General features: G+C 47.3%; 1 long non-coding RNA gene across 1 annotated transcript, besides 2 other annotated features; it reads left to right on the top strand.

The window, feature by feature from the left end:
• On the top strand, positions 1 to 14,815 carry NTRAS (non-coding transcript regulating alternative splicing). Its single transcript, NR_131925.1, has 3 exons — positions 1 to 82; positions 412 to 553; positions 14,237 to 14,815. It is a non-coding gene; the product is annotated as a non-coding transcript regulating alternative splicing (long non-coding RNA).
• Positions 2,784 to 3,619: an enhancer, noted in NCBI's record as "H3K27ac-H3K4me1 hESC enhancer chr1:211815933-211816768 (GRCh37/hg19 assembly coordinates)". NCBI's record gives its function as "activates a minimal SCP1, AML or CMV promoter by ChIP-STARR-seq in primed H9 embryonic stem cells {active_cell/tissue: H9 hESC(primed)}" and the evidence as "EXISTENCE:reporter gene assay evidence [ECO:0000049][PMID:30033119]".
• Positions 9,200 to 9,494: an enhancer, noted in NCBI's record as "tiled region #10021; HepG2 Activating DNase matched - State 4:PromP". NCBI's record gives its function as "activates a minimal TATA promoter and a strong SV40 promoter by Sharpr-MPRA in HepG2 cells {active_cell/tissue: HepG2}" and the evidence as "EXISTENCE:reporter gene assay evidence [ECO:0000049][PMID:27701403]".

Raw genomic sequence — 18,448 nt, forward strand, 5'->3', positions numbered from 1 at the left:
GTCCCAACCCTGGCCATGGCTGACAAGGGGCCCAGGGACACTGGAGCAGAGAGACCTGCTGGTCCTTGGGGTTTCTTGCAAGGTAGGACTCTACATCCTCCCTTGGGAACTAATTGATCTGTCAGTAAAATGTAAACTTCTGACTCCATGGGTCTGTGAATCAGCTGCCTCTAAAGGGAAATATCCCAGGAGTGATGAAAACTTGAAGATCGAGGATTGGATATAAGCTCAGAGGTGAAGGAGGGAAATTCCTCGGGTCAACTTTAGCGGACTGATCCACGGGGTCTGCCAAGAGACAGGAGCTCGAGGGTTAAACCCAAGCACTCGGGAGTCAGATGTATGAATCTGAATCTCAGCCTCTCGGCTTGCTGTGTAATCTCAGGCAAGTGACTTTTCTGTTCTGTAAATCAGGCTGATAGCGGGGGAACCTCTCTCACAGGGCTGCTACAAAGATTGCATGAGATTTTGCTCAACAAATATTAGCTGTTGGCTCCAGAGTTTAATACCTCTGATCACTACAAGCTTTGAAGGCAAGATAAAATAACTTCAACATGTGAGTACCAGGAGGCCTTGGTGAAAAGCAAGCCTGCCGGGAGATAATGCCTGGCTGGGTCAGGATTCTTGGTGCTTATTGACCACTGGGCACTTCAGAGCAGAACTCATCAAAGCCTCTGTATTGGGACAAGGGCTAGGGTGGAGGGGAGGATTGGGAAGGGAGAGGGGAGACTGTCCTTCTTTCTACTAAAAGTTACTGGCAAGAGAATGGGAATTAACCAGGCCTGGAAAAGTAATTTAGGTATTAGAACTTTGAACTCTTTTTTTAAAAACAAAAGACAAAAACAGCTTTATTGGGATATAATTGACAAATAAAAATTGTGTATATTTAAGGTGTACAACTTGATGTTTTGATATATGTACACATTATGACATGATCACTACCATCAAGCTAATTCACATATCCATCACCTCATACAGTCACTATTTTCTTCTTTGTGTGTGTGAGAGATGAGAACACTTAAGATCTATCCTCAGCCGGATGTGGTGGCTCACGTCTATAATCCCAGCACTTTGGGAGGCTGAGGCAGGCGAATCACGAGGTCAAGAGATTGAGACCATCCTGGCCAACATGGTGAAACCCCATCTCTACTAAAAATACAAAAATTAGCTTGGCGTGGTGGCGCGTGCCTGTAGTCCTAGCTACTCGGAAGGCTGAGCCAGGAGAATCGCTTGAACCGGGGAGGCGGAGGTTGCAGTGAGCTGAGATCGCACCACTGCACTCCAGCCTGATGACAGAGTGAGACTCCATCTCAAAAAAAAAAACTATCCTCTTAGTAAATTTCCAGTATATAATACAGAATTGTTAACTATAGTCCCACGCTATACATTAGATCTCCACAACTTATTCATATTGCATAACTGAAACTTTGTACCCTTTGACCAACATGTCCCCATTTTCCCGCCCCTGAGCTGCTGGCAACAGCAATTCTACTCTCTGCTTCTATGAGTTCAACTTTTTTAGATTTCACATATAAGTGACATTATACAGTATTTGTTTTTCTGTATCTGGCTTATTTCACTTAACATAATGTCCTCCAGGTTCATCCATGTTGCCGAAAATGTCGGGATTTTTTAAGGCTGAATAATATTGCATTGTACGTATATACCACATTTTTAAAATCCATTTATCCATTGAGGTACATTTGAATGGTCTACCCTCCTAACCAAGGCCAACCCTTTAGCCCAACTAAGCTCTTGGAAAATGCCCAAAGTTGCTGCAAAGCCCCTGGCTAAATCCTTCTCATCCTGAGACTCCGCTTCAGCGTTACCTCCCCAGGGAGGCCTGGGCTGGGTTTGATCCCTAAGTCAACCCATACGGCACTTTGCATTGTTAAAAGAAATACTTCAGCCAAATTAAATTTAAAGGAGTTTAATTGAGCAATGAACAGTCAGGCAGCCCCCAAATCACAGCAGATTCAGAGATACTCCAGCGCAGCCACATGGTGGAAGGAAATTTATGGACAGAAAGAGGAAAGTGACGTACAGAAAATAGAACATTTTCATATTGTTCAGTGAGTGTCAGGGGCCCCAAAGAATCATGATTCCACAGCATAATCACAGCTAACATGTATTTGGTGCTCTCTATGTACCAGGAATGGCATAAGTGTTGTCTAGTGAATTCACTCAACAACTCTGTGAAATAGTTTCCCTTCTCACTTGGTTTTTAGTTAAAAAAAAAAAAATTTGTAGAGATGGGGTCTCACTATGTTGCCCAGCCTGGTCTCAAATTCCTGGGCTCAAGTGATCCTCCTGCCTTGGACTCCCAAAGTGTTGGGATGACAGATGTGAGCCACCATGCCCAGACCCCTTCCCACTTTTGCATCTCTAAGCTGCCACCTTGCTGACCCACACACAGCTGTGGGTGAAATCCAATGGGCTCAGCAGCCATGAGCTAATAGCACTGCTCCTCCTGCGTAGAGAAAGATTTATTGTTTCGAACCTTTGACTTAGCTTAGAAAACAAAATCAGTAGGCCCCACTCTTCAATGTTTTTAAGGTATGGTCTCCCAGGTGGATTCTGAGACAGCTTTCATCTCTAGGGTTAATTAGGGTCTGGCCATTGCTCATGCGAAGATAGAAGACTAAAACACGCAAATCTAATGCCCCATCTTTGGCTTCCTTGGGAACAGGGGGAGGCTGGGGTGGGATGGAATGGAAAACACAGAGAAGCAAATAGCCCACCCAAGAAAGTGTGAGCCCTCCTGCCTTCACTACCTCTGGCCACCAAAAGAGACCAAACAAAGGGGCTAGGGGAAGGAAAGAATTGGGTGGGGGTAAAAGTGGGGGTCTTAGTAAACTCTAAACTCTTAGAAATAAATGTAGAGTTCACATTCCACCTGGGCTTCCAATGTCCTTCTCAGAGGCAGTCAGGGACCACCAACCAGGGAGCGCGTATGAGGGCTCAGCTTGGTTCTAGAACCTTTGTAAACTCATGCTTGCTATTTTGATGATCACTTACCTGATTTTCCAGAGGAAAACTAACCCAGGGAAGCAGGGAGGAGAGGCCCATGAGCCTGTGTTGGAAGAAGAGGAGGAGAGGTCAGCACTCCACCTTCAGCCATGTCCTAGCCAGAGAGGGGAGTGACAGCTTTCTCAAAGAGAGGAAACTGGGCAGATCCCTGAGGACTTGATCAAGGATGCAAGGCAGGGGAGCACAGGGGGGCTATGGGCTGAGAGGGGCCTGGAGGGTGGCAGTGGCTGGGCCTAGAGGTGGGCTCCGTAATGACACAGGGCTGGGGCAATGGAAGCGCCTAGCTCAGGAGCATGGTGGATGTGAGTGTATATCCGTCCACCCCTAGCTAGCAATTCACTAGCTGTGTGACCTTCCTCTATCTCCACTGATTGTTTCCAAGCCTGAGTTTCCTCACCTGTGAAATGGAGATAATCCAGCAATTGTGACGAGAAATGTGAGAAAATGCATGTCTGCAGCTATTACAGGGTCTGACCTGGAGTAAAAGCTCCATGAATGCCGGCTGTCCTGTGGCCTCCCCGACACGTCCCCCCTGCTGGAAGGCTTTCCTCACCATCTCCCTCATAAACAAAGCCAAGGTCAAGGCTGCAGCCCATGGTGAGAGCAGGGAGAGCTTGTGGGAAGTTCACTGCCCCGCCATGCCCCTGAATGGTGAGCCTCTTTCTTTGATGTGGGCTAACATCCGTGGACTCAGAGGCCCAGAAAGTGCGAGACACGCCAAGGCTCGGCCCCTGGGCGTCTGTTTCCTGAGCAGCCTGGGACACAGGTTGCCCTGGTGAGATGACCCACAGTCAGCACCCTAGGCCTTGGCATTATGCGGGCAGCTGGTATGAGCCCTGCCTCACCCTGCACAGAATTTGCCAGCTTCACAGCATTCCTGCCAGCCCAGCCTGCTCCCAGACCCAGCCAAGTTTCACTCAGGCAGCCTGCATTCCCATTTTGTGCGCCTTGTCCTGCCCAGAGGCACCGGCTGCTGAGGGAAGCATGAGGTCCTTGGAAAGGAGCTGCCCCAGCAGGCCGGTGTGCTGGGAGCCCTCAGCCTCTTCTACACTCCCGCCACCCCCAGCCCTGCATCCTGCCCCAAGCTGGCTGCCTGCCAGCTTCTCGGGTCTCATTTACTTACTGCTGTTTGTTTTGGAGGCTTCTGGGAAGCAAGGCTCCACCTGAGGAATCTTTGGCTGAGGGGACTTGTGACACCTGAGACTTTGAACTTTCAAGAAAACATAAGGCTCCGCTGGCCACTTCCCCGGGTGTGGGGACAAATGTCACTGCAGTGCCGTGGGCTTGCACCAGGCCCCTCCTCCTCTCCAAAGCAGCTAAGGCAGAGCTCATGGACAGGGACCTGCCTGAAGCAGCCGCCATCTGGGGGTTGACGGCTGCCTGGTCTCTTGCTCTATCTGGAAAAAGAAACCATAAGCATTTCATATTTATCTTATAATTCATTTGGATTTGTTTTCATATAAAAGTAATGTCTAAGGGAGGATTAGTCAAGTAAATTGTGCACATGTTCTTGTGATGACCTATTAGCAGATGCCACAGATTTACCCTAGTTTGAGAAACAAAGGTGAGAAGTATCTTTTGTAGACCAGGTGCGGTGGCTCACACCTGTAATCCTAGCACTTTGGAAGGCCGAGGTGGGTGGATTACCTGAGGTTGGGAGTTCAAGACCAGCCTGGCCAACATGGTGAAACTCCGTCTTTACTAAACAAAAAAAAAAAAAAAAAAATTAACTGGACGTGGAGGCACTCGCCTGTAGTCCCAGTTACTCGGGAGGCTGAGGCAGGGGAATTGCTTGAACCCAGGAGGCAGAGGTTACAGTGAGCTGAGATTGTGCCACTGCACTCCAGCGAGATTCTGACTCAAAAAAAAGGAGTATCTTTTGGAAAACCTCTGTTCAATAATTGACTTTTAAATGCACAAAAAATTGGAAATACACCAATTTTTACTTTTTTTTTTTTTTTTTTTTTTTTAGAGACAAGGTCTTGTTCTGTTGCCCAGGCTGGAGTGCAGTGACAAGATCATAGTTCACTTTGGCCTCAAACTTCTGGCCTCAAGCAATCTTTCCACCTCAGCCTTCCAAACCCCTAAGATTACAGGCATGAGCTACCCAGCCCAGACCTCAATTTTTAAAAATTGTAAAATGAACTTTTAAAATCCCTATTAAGGCTGGGCATGGTGGCTGACTCACGTCTGTAATCCCAGCACTTTGGAAGGCTGAGACAGGTAGACAAGGGGTTTGAGACTAGCATGGGCAACATGGTAAAACCCCATCTCTACAAAAAATAAAAACAAAACAAAACAAAAACACAACAATTAGCCCAGCATAGTGGCATGTGCCTGTAGTCCCAGCTACTTGAGAGGCTGAGGTGGGAGGTTTGATTAAACCTGGGAGGTCGAGGCTGCAGTGAGCCAAGATCATGCCACTGCACTCCAGCCTGGGCAATGAGGCAAGACCCTGTCTCAAAGAAAAAAAAATCCCTATTAAATTTGGTAGAATTGTAATTTAAGCAGGTTTATTATAGTGAGTTTGGAAAGAATAAAGAAAAAGAACTAAGTTACTCCCTCACACAGAGATAACCCTTTTGGTGTACATTTTGGTATATTTAAGATATCATACAATATATACTTCTTTGGTCATAGTTAGCACTCTTATCTAAGTATTTCTTCCCAATCAATCAATTAATGTTCAGCAAGATTTTTTATTTTTATTTTTTTGAGATAGAGTATCGTTCTGTCTCCCATTCTGGAGTGCAGTGGCGCAGTCTCGGCTCACTGCAACCTCACCTCCTAGGCTGAAGCGATTCTCATGCCTCAGCCTACTGAGTAGCTGGGACTACAGGCATGTGCCACCATACCCAGCTAATTTTTGTATTTTTAGTAGAGATGGGGGTTTCACCATGTTGCCCAGGCTGCTCTCAAACTCCTGGCCTCAAATGATTCATCTGCCTCGGCCTCCCAAAGTGCTGGAATTATAGGCATGAGCCACCGTGCCCGGCTGGTAAGATTATTTTTTATTTTTAGTGGCAGCATAGTCCACTGTGTGGACGAACAAAAGTTTTGTTTGTTTTTTGAGACAGAATCTCACTCTGTCACCCAGGCTGGTGTGCACTGGCATGATCTCAGCTCATGCAACCTCTGTGATTCTCCTGCCTCAGCCTCCTCAGTAGCTGGGATTACAGGTGCCCACCACCATGCCCAGCTAATTTTTGTATTTTCAGTGGAGACGGGGTTTCACCAGGTTGGCCAGGCTGGTCTTGAACTCCTGACCTCAAGCGATCTGTCCGCCTCAGCCTCCCAAAGTGCTGGGATCACAGGCGTGAGCCACTGTGCACAGCCTAAAAATTTTTTAACCGTTCATTTTTTGACATTTAAGTTGTTCCTATTTTTTGCTGTTATAAAAAACATTCAATAGCCACTTTTGCACAAACATCTTTGCACATTTATCTGAGCACATACTTAGGATAAACTTCATAAAATTGGAATTGCTGGGTCAAAGGATAAGGACATTTTAAGGTTGTTGGTACACCCTGCCTTGGCTGGTTTCTTCCTTTGCTTCTATGAAAACCATTGCCACCTTGAGATCAGGGACGTATTTGCCTAAATTTTCAGTAGTGCTATGATTTTGTCATTAGATGTTTAGATTATAATTCATCTGGACTAATCATAACACTAATAATAATATGAGGTAATACTTATTGGGTGGGGACTATGAGTTGGACATTGGGCTAAGAAATTCTTATGCATAATCTTACTTCACCCCTACTATTATGTTCAGGGAACTATTTTTATTTCATCTTACATAGGAAGAAACTAAGATTGTGAGTTTAACTTGGGATGAGGCAGGGATCTAGCTTTATTTTTATTTTCCTTTCTTTCTTTCTTCCTTCCTTTCTTCCTTACCTTCTTTCCTTCTTTTGTTTCCTTCTTTCTTTCTTTCTTTCTTTCTTCCTTTCTTCCTTCCTTTCTTTTTCTTTCTTTCTTTCTTTCTCTCTCTCTGTTTCTTTCTTTCCTTTCTTTTCTTTTTTAAAGACAGGGTCTCACTCTGTCACCTAGGCTGGAGTGCAGTGGCGAGATCTCAGCTCACTGCAGTCTTGACCTCCCTGGGCTCAAGTGATCCTCAGCCTCCCAAGTACCTGCAACCACAGGCACACGCCCCCCATGCCCGGCTAGCTTTTCTTGTGTGTGTGTATGTGGGTTTGTGTGTGTTTGTGTGCGTGTATTTTGTAGAGATGGGATTTTGCCATGTTGCCCAGGCTAGTAGCTTTGTTTTTCCATATTATTCCAACATCATTTATTAAACAATGAATCTTTCCATCACTGATTTGAATATCCCATTCAGCATACACTACCAATTTCTTTTTATACATAGGATCTGTTCCTGGGCCTTCTCTTCTTTTCCACTGAGCTGCCTGTCCTTTTTCCATTTCACACGGTTTTTTGTTTTTTGTTTACCACTGAAGCTTTAAAATGTATTTTACTGTCTGGGAATGCAGAACCACCCTGTTCTTTTTCTCCCAGAAATTTTATGATTCTATTCATACATAAATTTATTTCCAGGTGAATTCATTTTGTCACATTAAAAGTAAATCTTAGATATTTTTATTAGAATTGCATAAGACTTATGCATTTGGGCAAATGGCATTTGACAGTGTTGAGTTCTCGGTGTGGTGTGTTTTGCCTTTTATTTAATGTCCCTCAGTGTCATTCAGCAGATTTTTTGTTATGAGTTTTGCACAGTTCCTGTATACTTCATTCCTTGGCTTTGCTATTGTAAGTGGGAACTTTTTGCATTATATTTTGTGGCCAGTTCACCCTAGTGTATAGAAAGCTATGAAATGGGTACTAGTGTTTCTCGTTTACAGATGAAGGAGTAGAAATTAAGGGCACAGTGCCAGGTGAGACTCTAGTTGAGGACAGGGCTATTCAGAGGTGCGGCCGTGTCTGAACCTGCCTCAGTCATAACCACTCTCTTAGAAGGAAGCTGCCCGTGCTCTCCAAAGACAGTGTCTGGTCAGACCCAGCTTGGTGTCTGCTGCCTGGCTTGGTGCTCCTGGCTTGGTGTCTGCTGCCTGGACAGTTCCAGATTCAAGGGCAGCCAAACATTTCTGGGCAGCAAGCTCCCTGGCCTGATCAAGCTCTGGGCCATGGCTGTGCCCCGCAAACCCCAGAACCCAATAAAAGGAGTCCCCATTAGGTGGGCATGGCTGCAGGTGACTGTTGCACAGTAGGACTTTGGACCACTTATTTGAAAGCTGCTGTTCTTACTGTTCAGCATCAGAGAGAATTTGATGAACTCTATGGACTCTCAGACAAATGCCCCAAATGCTGTTGACACTTTCAGAGGATGTATGGACAACCCCAAAACACACCCAAGGATCTTGGGTTAAATTAATATTCCTGTGTTAAAACAATGGCCCAGACAGGGATTCCTCCAGGTGGGAGGTGCCCAGGGATGGGGTCACGTTCAGAGGACAGAAGTCCTTGTGTCTGTGTGACTTTGGATGGGTCACTTCCCTCTCTGAATCGTTATTTTCTCCATGAGAACAATATCTACCCAGTCTAGTTATGGTGTTGTTTGGGAATCGTCTGGTATCCTGTCTTGTGACAGTGCTTTGAAAACTGCAGTTAAGTAACACAAAGGTAAGAAATGACTCATGCCAGGAAAGGGAATAGCATGAGGCCCAGCTCTGATATGCAAAGGCCTCTCAGATTCTTAGAGAATATTATTGGCTCTCACACCACCAGCTGCTCCCAGTGAACTTGGCCTTCGCCCCCAGGAATGGCTGATAAAGGCCTTCACTGCTTTCCACTTCTGAGCTGATGGGACTGTTTTAGCTGACCCAGCTAAAACCATGATTAAGTGGCTGGATTTGGAAAAGAAGTGTTGGGGCTCATGGTTCACAGATACGTTTCTGGGTTGTTATAAAAATTAATAATTAGGCTGGGTGCGGTGGCTCACTCCTGTAATCCCAGCACTTTGGGAGGCCGAAGCAGGAGGACCACTTGAGGTCAGGAGCTCAAGACTAGCCTGGCCAACATGGCGAAACCCTGCCTCTACTAATAATACAAAAATTAGCCGGATGTGGTGGCTCATGCCTGTAATCTCAGCTACTCAGGAGGCTGAGACAGGAGAATCGCTTGAACCTGGGAGGTGGAGGTTGCAGTGAGCTGAGATTGTGCCACTGCACTCCAGTCTGGGTGACAGAGTGAAAATATGTCTCAAAAAACAAAATTAATAATTAATCCTCTCCTGCATGCTGGAGGGGAACTGCCAGCAGCCTCCGAGTTATGGAGAGCACTCCTGGCCACCAGGCTCCCCGTGAGTCCTGGCTCCGTGTGAGCCCAGGCCAGCCCTCCTCTCTACTGCCCTCCACTGGGTCCCCATGGTAAAATAAGGGGCTGCACTTGATGAAAGTGAATTTGCAACTGAAAAAATATGTAATAATAAAGCCAGATCCCTTCTAAGAGACTTTAAAGGTCTTCCAACTTGTCTTCTTCCTGCTCCCAGTAGATTATGTCCCCTGTCCTCATGCCCCAGCGTGAACTTTAGGCCCTGGACACATCAGCTTGCACACACATGTGTGTTTGTGTGGGGGTGGGTGGGTGTGCATGTGTGTCCTTGGGGGAAGCTGGGGGAAAGGGGCAAAAGAGAACCCTCACTGGGAACCTTTTTCTAAATACAAATGGCTGCCCCCTTCTCCCTGGGAAATATCTGAATGGGGTGAGGGATATACTGCTTTGGTCTTCCGACCATCCAGATCCCCATCTCCAGACTCTCCAGCCAGAGGGCAGGGCAGTAGGGGGACTGGCAGGACTATTTTGAACGCCTGGTTCTCAGAACCACCTCCCTGCAGTGCTCCTGTTCAGAGGTCAGAGGTGTGCAGCGTCCTTTCATCCTCTCCTTGGAGAGCAAGCCTGATGAGGCAGGGAATATCTTTCTGACTCCCCGGTTCCTGGCTCCATGGCAGGCATGCAACAGAAGCTCTCGGACAAATAAATGGGACCTTCCCCCATACTTTGCCTAAACCTTCTTATGTCCCTTCTCTGCTCCCTCTTTACCAATGTGGGTATCTCCTCTCCTCCCAACTTCTGCTCAAATTGTAGCTTCTGGGGATGCCTCCAGCTGAACCCCCAGGCCTCCCCAGATCTGTGGCCCCAGCCCTGTGTCCCTGCATCTTTGCTGATCCCAGCCAGAAGCTGCCAGGTATGCATTTTCATCAACAGTAGTGAGGACTATTTATTAATTTATTTATTTTTGAGACAGAGTCTTGCTCTGTCACTCAGGCTTGAGTGCAATGGCCTGAACTCGGCTCACTGCAACCTCTGCCTCCCAGGCTCAAGAGATTCTTGTGCCTCAGCCTCCCGAGTAGCTGGGATTACAGGCGTGTGCCACCACGCCCGGCTAATTTTTGTGTTTTTAGTAAAGACAGGGTTTCACCATGTTGGCCAGGCTGGTCTTGAATTCCAGACCTCAAGTGATTCATCCTCCTTGGCCTCCCAAAGTGCTGGGATTACAAGTGTGAGTCACCATGCCCAGCCAGTAAGGACTATTCGTTAAGCAGCATTATAGATCACCTGTGTATGTCTGCTAAAAAAAAAAAAAAAAAAAAAAGGGCACCCTCTCTACCCAGATGAGCAAAGGTATTTTTTCTGATACCTGTAACAAATCTAATATTGCCACAATTGCTACATGATTAGTGAGAGAAGCATTTGATAGGCTAATCAATTGATTGGTCTGGGGTAAATATTCAGTGAATCCAAAGTTCAACTCTAATGAGCCACTTCACTTCTCCTGGGCCCTCTTGGTAATGTGGTACCAGGAACTCTGGAAGTCCTCATGGCATTGCTCAAGGGAGTGGTGGGATGGGTCCCCAGCTGCTCTTTGCACAGCTCTCTGCTCTAGGTGACTGTCTGGTCCATGAGCTGGGCTGGCCCAGTCTGTCTCTGGCAATCCTGGGGACATCTGCTGTTGACATCCTTGGTGAGTGTAACCTCCAGCTTACACAACCCATTGGACACCTCCTCTGCTCTCAAAAACTCTGCTGACCCCCAAAGTATGGTTGTGACTCCCATTAAGCCCAAGACCCACGTAGACCCTATGCCCCCAGCCAGATCCTCATTGGAAACCCCCATGGGAACATACAAGAAAGTGGATCTCTTCCAGTTCCTCCCACATTACGTGGCATCAAGGGCTTTGGGAATGTCAAACCAAATACTCCCCTGTCCTCAGCAGAGCACCCTCCCCTTTCCCAACGCCCCCCCGCCGCCACCACCAGGCTAACGAAGTTCTAAATGGGGGTCAGGGCACAAAATACTCTGTGTTTGCCTTTTCTCTCAATCTATTCAACTGCTCACCCCACCCAACTCCCACCAATCCAGTCCTCTACCCTGGGACTTTAGCCTGCAGTAGGAAGATCAGCCCACGAGTGTGACCACCCAGGTCCCCAACCTCAGCCCATCTTCTTCCCAGTTTCCTGGGCCTGGAGGGGAGCTCTAATCCCTTTCAGTTTTAGCCTTGATATCCTTAACATCTTTGCCACTAGACAGTGGGCCACGGACGAGCTGCATCAGTATCCCCAGAGCTTATTAGAAATGTAGACTCTCAAGCCCCACCATGGACTTGCGGAACCAGGGCTTGTATGTTAACAAGGTGCCCGGGTGATTCACATGCACATTAAAGTCAGAGAAGCGGTGCTGGCTTGCAGCACATCCTGGCAGCGTGTTCTCCTTAGCTTATGTCAGACTCCTGGATCTGGTCCGCCAGGCCTGGTTCTTAATATGTTAGTGGAACTCAGCAAATTTAGGAAACCCTTCTCTCTCTTGTCAAAGTTTGACTTCTAGATGCTGCAGACTCAACTATCTTGCCTCCATGCCTTGGATGTCACTGGCTGCATAAGGACTTTGTCTTTCTCTTGACATTCTTGCTGTAACAATCCCAGTCCTCCTCAGTCCATTCTTCTTGAAAATGGCACTGGGGAAAGAGGCAAATATACAGAATGGAGAAAGAGAGAAACACATGAACATACTTGAAAACTACTCTCCCAGCTACAATAGCTTTTGCTGACTTGAGCTTCAAGTGATGCCAGCAGGCTACATGGAGGGTAGAGGTGAGAAGGGGTGGCACACACTTCACAGATGTCACAGAGGAGGACGCTCCTTCTACCACACTGTCCCTTGTCTAAGGACGCAAAGGAGAAAAGCCTTGCCTTAGCATCCAGAGTGGTTCAATATTACCTGAGCAAGTGAACTGCCTTTATTTTACAGGCCTCTAGGGCATAACTATCCATTTGCCCTTTTTTGTTTTGGCCACTAGGAAGCTTAGAGACAGATTTGTGGTCCAACAACGGTAAGTGTATGATCATGTCTAATTCTCATGCAGGACTGATCCCTGGCTTCACCCTAGCTTGTCTTCTTCCTCCTTGCTTTTAACATATGCATTTTATTATAACCATGTATTCGTATAAGCCACTTTAAATCTCTCCTGAAGCCAAGTGAAATAACTTTGTAAGTAGGTACTGTTCTAGGTCCTTGCCTATGGCGTATTCCCTCTTGATCTTTGCCATTGTTAACATCCCCATTGCACAGATGAGGACACTGAAGCGCAGAGAGGTGAAACAAGCAAGCCAGGCTCAGGGCAACGGTGAGTGTCCAAGCCAGGGTATCTCAGCTCTCTGTGTTCAGAGTTTGGGCCCCAGAAGGGACCACCTGGATCCTGTCTTGGCAGCAGGCAGGCCAACACGGCGCTGAGAGGGAGCTGAGGGGAGGTGTGGGTCAGATTTCTGGCAAGCCCTGAGGCTGTCAGTGAACCGCTGTGGGGTCCCCCCAGCATGTGCTTTGGGGCCACACCCTAATGGGGGTCTTCTTTATGTTATGACCACTCCTGCAGTTAATCAACCACAAGGTTGTTTTTTGTTGTTGCTGTTTTTTCTGTTTGTTTTTTTTTTTTTTTGAGACAGAGTTTCAGTCTGTTGGTCAAGCTGGAGTGCAGTGGCACAATCTTGGCTCACTGCAACCTCCATCTCCCAGGTTCAAGTGACTCTCCTGCCTCAGCCTCCCGAGTAGCTGGGATTACAGGCATGCACCACCACGCCTGGCTAATTTATGTATTTTTAGTAGACACGGCATTTCACCATGTTGGCCAGGCTGGTCTTGAACTCCTGGCCTCAAGTGATCCACCCGCCTCGGCCTCCCAAAGTGCTGGGATTACAGGCATGAGCCACCGAGCCTGGCCTTAAGCACGAGATTCTTAAGGATAGCACTGGGACCGGTGATTCTGTGACTGGAGCTGATTAACTGCTTTGTGGGAATAAGTAAGGGCTTCAAAGATGTGTGCCCATCTCGGCTGCCAGGCCCTGAGTTCTTGAGGTGGAAGCTGACTCTCCACCTTTCTGGCTGATCTAGGCAGGCTAGTTCCCTGAAGACTCAAGGTAAGCTGCCTTCTAGAATGAACTTGGGATGAAGGTAAATGATGACACAGGGCAGCTGTCTGAAAAAGAAAGGTTTATTTATCTAAACCAACAAGAAAGGATTCTTTTTAATTGGAAAAACAATTAAAGAATAGTGCATGTATTCAGATCCTATTTTTCCCAGTGTGTTTTTGTTGTTGTTGTTGTTGTTTTTGAGATGAGGTCTCACTCTGTCGCCAGGCTGGAATGCAGTGGCGCAATCATAGCTCACTGCAGGCTCCACCTCCCAGGCTCAGGCAATCCTTCCACTTCAGCCTCCTGAGTAGCTGGCACCACAGGCACACACCACCACGCCCAGCTAATTTTTTGCATTTTTGGGTTTCACCAGTTGCCTAAGCTGGTCTCGAACTTCTGAGCTCAAGTGATCTGCCCACCTCAGCCTCCCATAGTGCTGGGATTACAGGTGTGAGCCATTACACCCAGCCTACGTGTGTTTTAAATACACATACTCAGATGGATCCACTCAGACACACACACAGACCCCCATACACAGAGACACTCTATCCCCATCCCGCAACACACACACACACACACACACACACACACACAGAGTCTAGAAAGGACCACCAAACACCAAAGTGTTAATAGCTACTTCCGAAAGCAGAGATAGAAACTAGGCTAATGGGTGAGGAATGTTTACCTTTTAATTTTCACTATATATACTTTCCATATTGTTAGAACTTTTTACAACGATGTTGTCACTTCATGATTTAACTGTTTTGTTTTGTTTTGTTTTTTAATAGAGTGAATCATCTGTGAACACTTCCTGTGAACGTGTGACTATGATTATGGAACACTCTGTTGCATCAAGATGGCCAGAGATTGTCTCAGAGTCCAGGCAGTGGGAGGAGGGGGGATTTGTTTCCTGGCTGGGTGGTCGTAGGGCATCAAGGGATGAGCAGCTTTGGTTGTCTGGGATTTCAGCAGCTTGAGGGGAGCTGTAGGGCCCCAGAGCTGTCGCTGTGGCTGTGGTGTCAGAAATGTAAGCAAGGTGCCTCCATGGAGGTTAGCGAGGGTGCCCCTCTGAATGCCGGGTGGAATGCAACCTTTCGCATGGAGGAGGCCCTCAGCAGCTGACCTCTGTCTTCCCTGTGTAGAGGGAGGGAGGCTGAGGCTGGGGCTGAGCGAGGGGTAAAGTAAGCCACGTGTCTCATCAGCTAGCCTGCAGCAAGCACAGCCCTCTGGGAGGGCTGGTTCTATCCTCCTCCTTGGTGTGAAATCCATCAATCTAATAGGGATCCTTATTTTCCCAGCCACCAAGTCACAATGAGCAATAATCTCTTCTTGTTGGTGCATATAAATTTGCTTCATTCTTTTTTAAACAGCTGCCTTGTGTCGCCTTTTGCATTCAGCCCAAGTCCAGCCTAGGAGGACAGCCTTATCTTAAGTCACTGAGGGAACTAGCTTGCCTAACTGAAAGGGCTTTGCCCTGGAAGGAGAAGGGTCTTCTGGAAACATAAAACGTTTCAGGGGAGGGCAGTCCTGAATGAGATGGCTCTAGGGGGTGGGGGACACTGGACCGCCTGAAGGTACTGGGCATCTGGCCTGGGCTTTTGAGGAAATGCAAAGCCATGCTATAGATGATGCTGAGCAAAGGCGGGAGAGAGACGTGGGGGTCCTACCGGGGTCACTTGAAAACCCCTTCTCCGGCCTCCCCCACGCTAACCCATCTCTCCTGGCACGCAAGTCTGGAAAGGCCACTGGCCCTAACCATGCTGGCTCTGCGTCCACCTTCCTCTTCAATTCAAATGGCTTGGATAAAGCCATGGGTTATGACGCTTAACCCATCACTGTGGGAAACTGGATGACTTGGGGAACAAAGCCAACCTTTTGCTGTCTTGCGGAGGCAGGCAGTGGAGGGTTATTGCCAAAAGCCTGAGCTCCGGAGCTGTGATCTCTGAGTCTCAGTTTCCCCGTGTAAAATGTGATTCGAATGATACCTACTTCACAGGGGTATTGTAGGGATTGAAGGAAATAATGGGGAGAAGGCATTTATCCAATGCCCGGCATAGACTCTCGCAGTAACTCCCAGTTGCTCAGGCTAGTCGGGGAGGGTGGGACTGCGGCTCTAGCAGAGCCATGGCGCCACCTTGCGGTTCTGTCGGCCAGGACAGTCGGTTAATCAGATTCAAATCCAGTGACCCTTTTTCAAGCGCCTGTGAGTAGGCCTGTGCTGGGTTGAACTCATTATTATTTAAACATGTAAACTGTGTAATGGTAAGTACAGTGCTAGTGTCTAACAGAACATCTTGGAAAGATCTTACAGTGCGATGCTGGAGAAACATCGTTTGGAAGGAACCCGCTCTCCACGCCCCCATCAAAGGGACCCCCTTCTAAGCTACCATGACTGCTCAAATACCCCAGACGTTCCCAGCTTCAGCGACTAACTGGAAACAAGGTTTTGTTAGCTTAAGAGCAAGGAGAGGGGATTCATGATCAGATTTAAAATGTCTCCTCAGTTTCCAAGTCCTGCCATATTGCTTCTCCCAGTTTCACTCAAACCCCCGCTCCCCTCCCCAGCCCCCTAGCCCACCACTGGTCTGCTGTCTTTCCTCTCTCCGGACCCGCTCAGGTCTCCCATTCCCTTTGCTTTTCCCCTCCACCCCCACCTCCACTGTAACCTGCTATGGTTAGTCTCCTCCTCTTCCTGCTGCACCCCTCATCACCACCTCTTCTGAAATTGCAAGCCCCCACTCCTGCTCCTCTTTCCCACTTTGCTCTGCTCCTTAACGCTTATTGCTGACATGCCCTGTGGCTGATTAGTTGCTGACTGTCACGCCCCATTTGAAGGGGGCAGTGAGGGCAGGGATTTCAATGTTTCTTCATGGCTGTATCTTCAGCACCTTAAACAGTGCCTGGCTCATAGTGGGTGCTCAATAACTGCTTGTTGGTTGAATTAAGCCATGAATGAAAATAAAGGTGAAATCTGGGATGGGGAAAATTAGAGAAGTTGTCCAGCATGCCTCAGGTTTCAAAGTGAGAAGAAAACGTATTATTTTCTAAGGTAGAAAGGAGTTTCCTAGAGAAAGTGGTGGTTTCACAGCCGAGTAACCTGCACAGCCATACAGGACCCCACATGTAGAAAAACCTGGTATTAGGAAGGGCCTGGCACCTGGAGTCTAGTGCTCTGAGGCTGAAGTCTTGAAATTCTTAATACTTGTATCTTTATATTTATTTATTTATTTATTTATTTTTGAGACGGAGTCTCACTCTGTCAACCAGGCTGGGGTGCAGTGGTGTGATCTTGGCTCACTGCAACCTCCACCTTCCAGGTTCAAGAGATTCTCCTTCCTCAGCCTCCTGAGTAGCTGAGATTACAGGCGTCCACCACCAAGCCCAGCTAATTTGTTTTATATTTTTAGTAGAGACAGGGTTTCACCATGTTGGCCAGGCTGGTCTCAAACTCCTGACCTCAGGTGATCCACCCCACCTCGGCCTCCCAAAATGCTGGGATTACAAGCACGAGCCACCACGCCTGGCTACTACTTGTGTCTTTGAATTTGCCTTTTGTAAGTGGAGTCCAGTGGGACAATGGGAGCCTGCGTGGTGGCTCAGGGCCTCCCCTCATGCATGATCCCACCTCCCATCAGCCCCATAGACTCCCAGGATGATTCTCAGACCCCTCCCTACCCTCTAGTGCACTGGGCCCCACCCAACCTCCCCTTCCCATGACCAGAAGGGGCCTGGGCACAGGCAAGGGAAGGGTCAGCATTGAGTATCTAGGCTCCAATGCATCCCCAGGCAGGTCATGGCAGCAGCTGTTCTGAAGCCATTTCCCCTCTCCCCCATGGCAGCCCCATGGCATGTCTGGTGGCCATGTCTTGACAAGGGCCATCGAGGTACCCTGGTCCAAGTATAAAGTCCCAGCTTGGAGGTTTAAAGATCCTTGGAGGTGGCCAAACTGCCATGGGCTGGGGCCGTTGGCCTGTGCAAAAGGAAGATGCCAGGCTCTGCTCCTCCTGGCCTGGCATTGCATAGGTCTGGTGACTGGAGGAAAGGGGAACTGAGCAGGTGTCAGAGTCAGGGGTTCCCAGATGCCTGAGGGTCTGGTGTGTCTGTCTCCTCTGGTCAACTTGAGGCACCCTCAGAGAAGAGTCACAAAATATGAATTGTGAAATTCATTCCCTATCTCAGCTGAATGCTCTGCTATTTGCATTTAAAATCTGCATTGCACGACATAAATGGTAAAATTCATGCTAATCATTTAAATTTTTAATTTTTCTTTACTTAGAATATTAAATAGCAAATAACATCACAATAAGCAGAGAAAGAGAGAGAGAGAAACCTTGGAAGAAAGGGAAAAGCATTGTAGGTACCTTTCAGGGTACTTGTTTCCTGCTTTTCGAACAAGAGTCCCGCATTACCATTTTGCACTAGGTCTTGCAAATTTTATAGCTGGCCAGGAGTTATACTCAACATTCATGTCAAGGTGATTCTGTTAGGATTAAAGATCTGGTAATCAGTTTCTGATTGTGTTTGGATAGTATCATTTGTACTTGATGGAACTATGCTGCCAGCTGTGTAATAATCCTACATATATAAAGGAGCTATTTCCTCTCATTTATTATTAACCCTTTAAAACTTGGTCTTATTTCATTAAGCTAAAAGGACTAGCATTGCCAGGAAAATCTCACAAAGGAAAAGGCACAGCATAGACTGCTAATTTATACTAAAAGTCAGATATATACATATTTAAATATCCATCAAAATCCAAAATAACTTTCCTTCAAGGCTGAGATATGTCCCAACAAGTTTGAGCTTAGATCAGGTTTCTCAAAAGTGGCACTATTGACATTGGGAGCCGATCATAGTCCCAGGAGATACAATTTTTAATGCCATAATCCCGAATGTCATAATGCTGAAGTCCCAAAAGGTCAAAATCCATAAAGTCTAAAACCTGAAAATCATAATCCTGAAAGAGCAGAATTCCAAAAATGTAATTCCGGAAAATATAA

This window comes from Homo sapiens, chromosome 1 (genome assembly GCF_000001405.40).
Source record: "Homo sapiens chromosome 1, GRCh38.p14 Primary Assembly".
NCBI classification, from domain to species: Eukaryota; Metazoa; Chordata; class Mammalia; order Primates; family Hominidae; genus Homo; species Homo sapiens.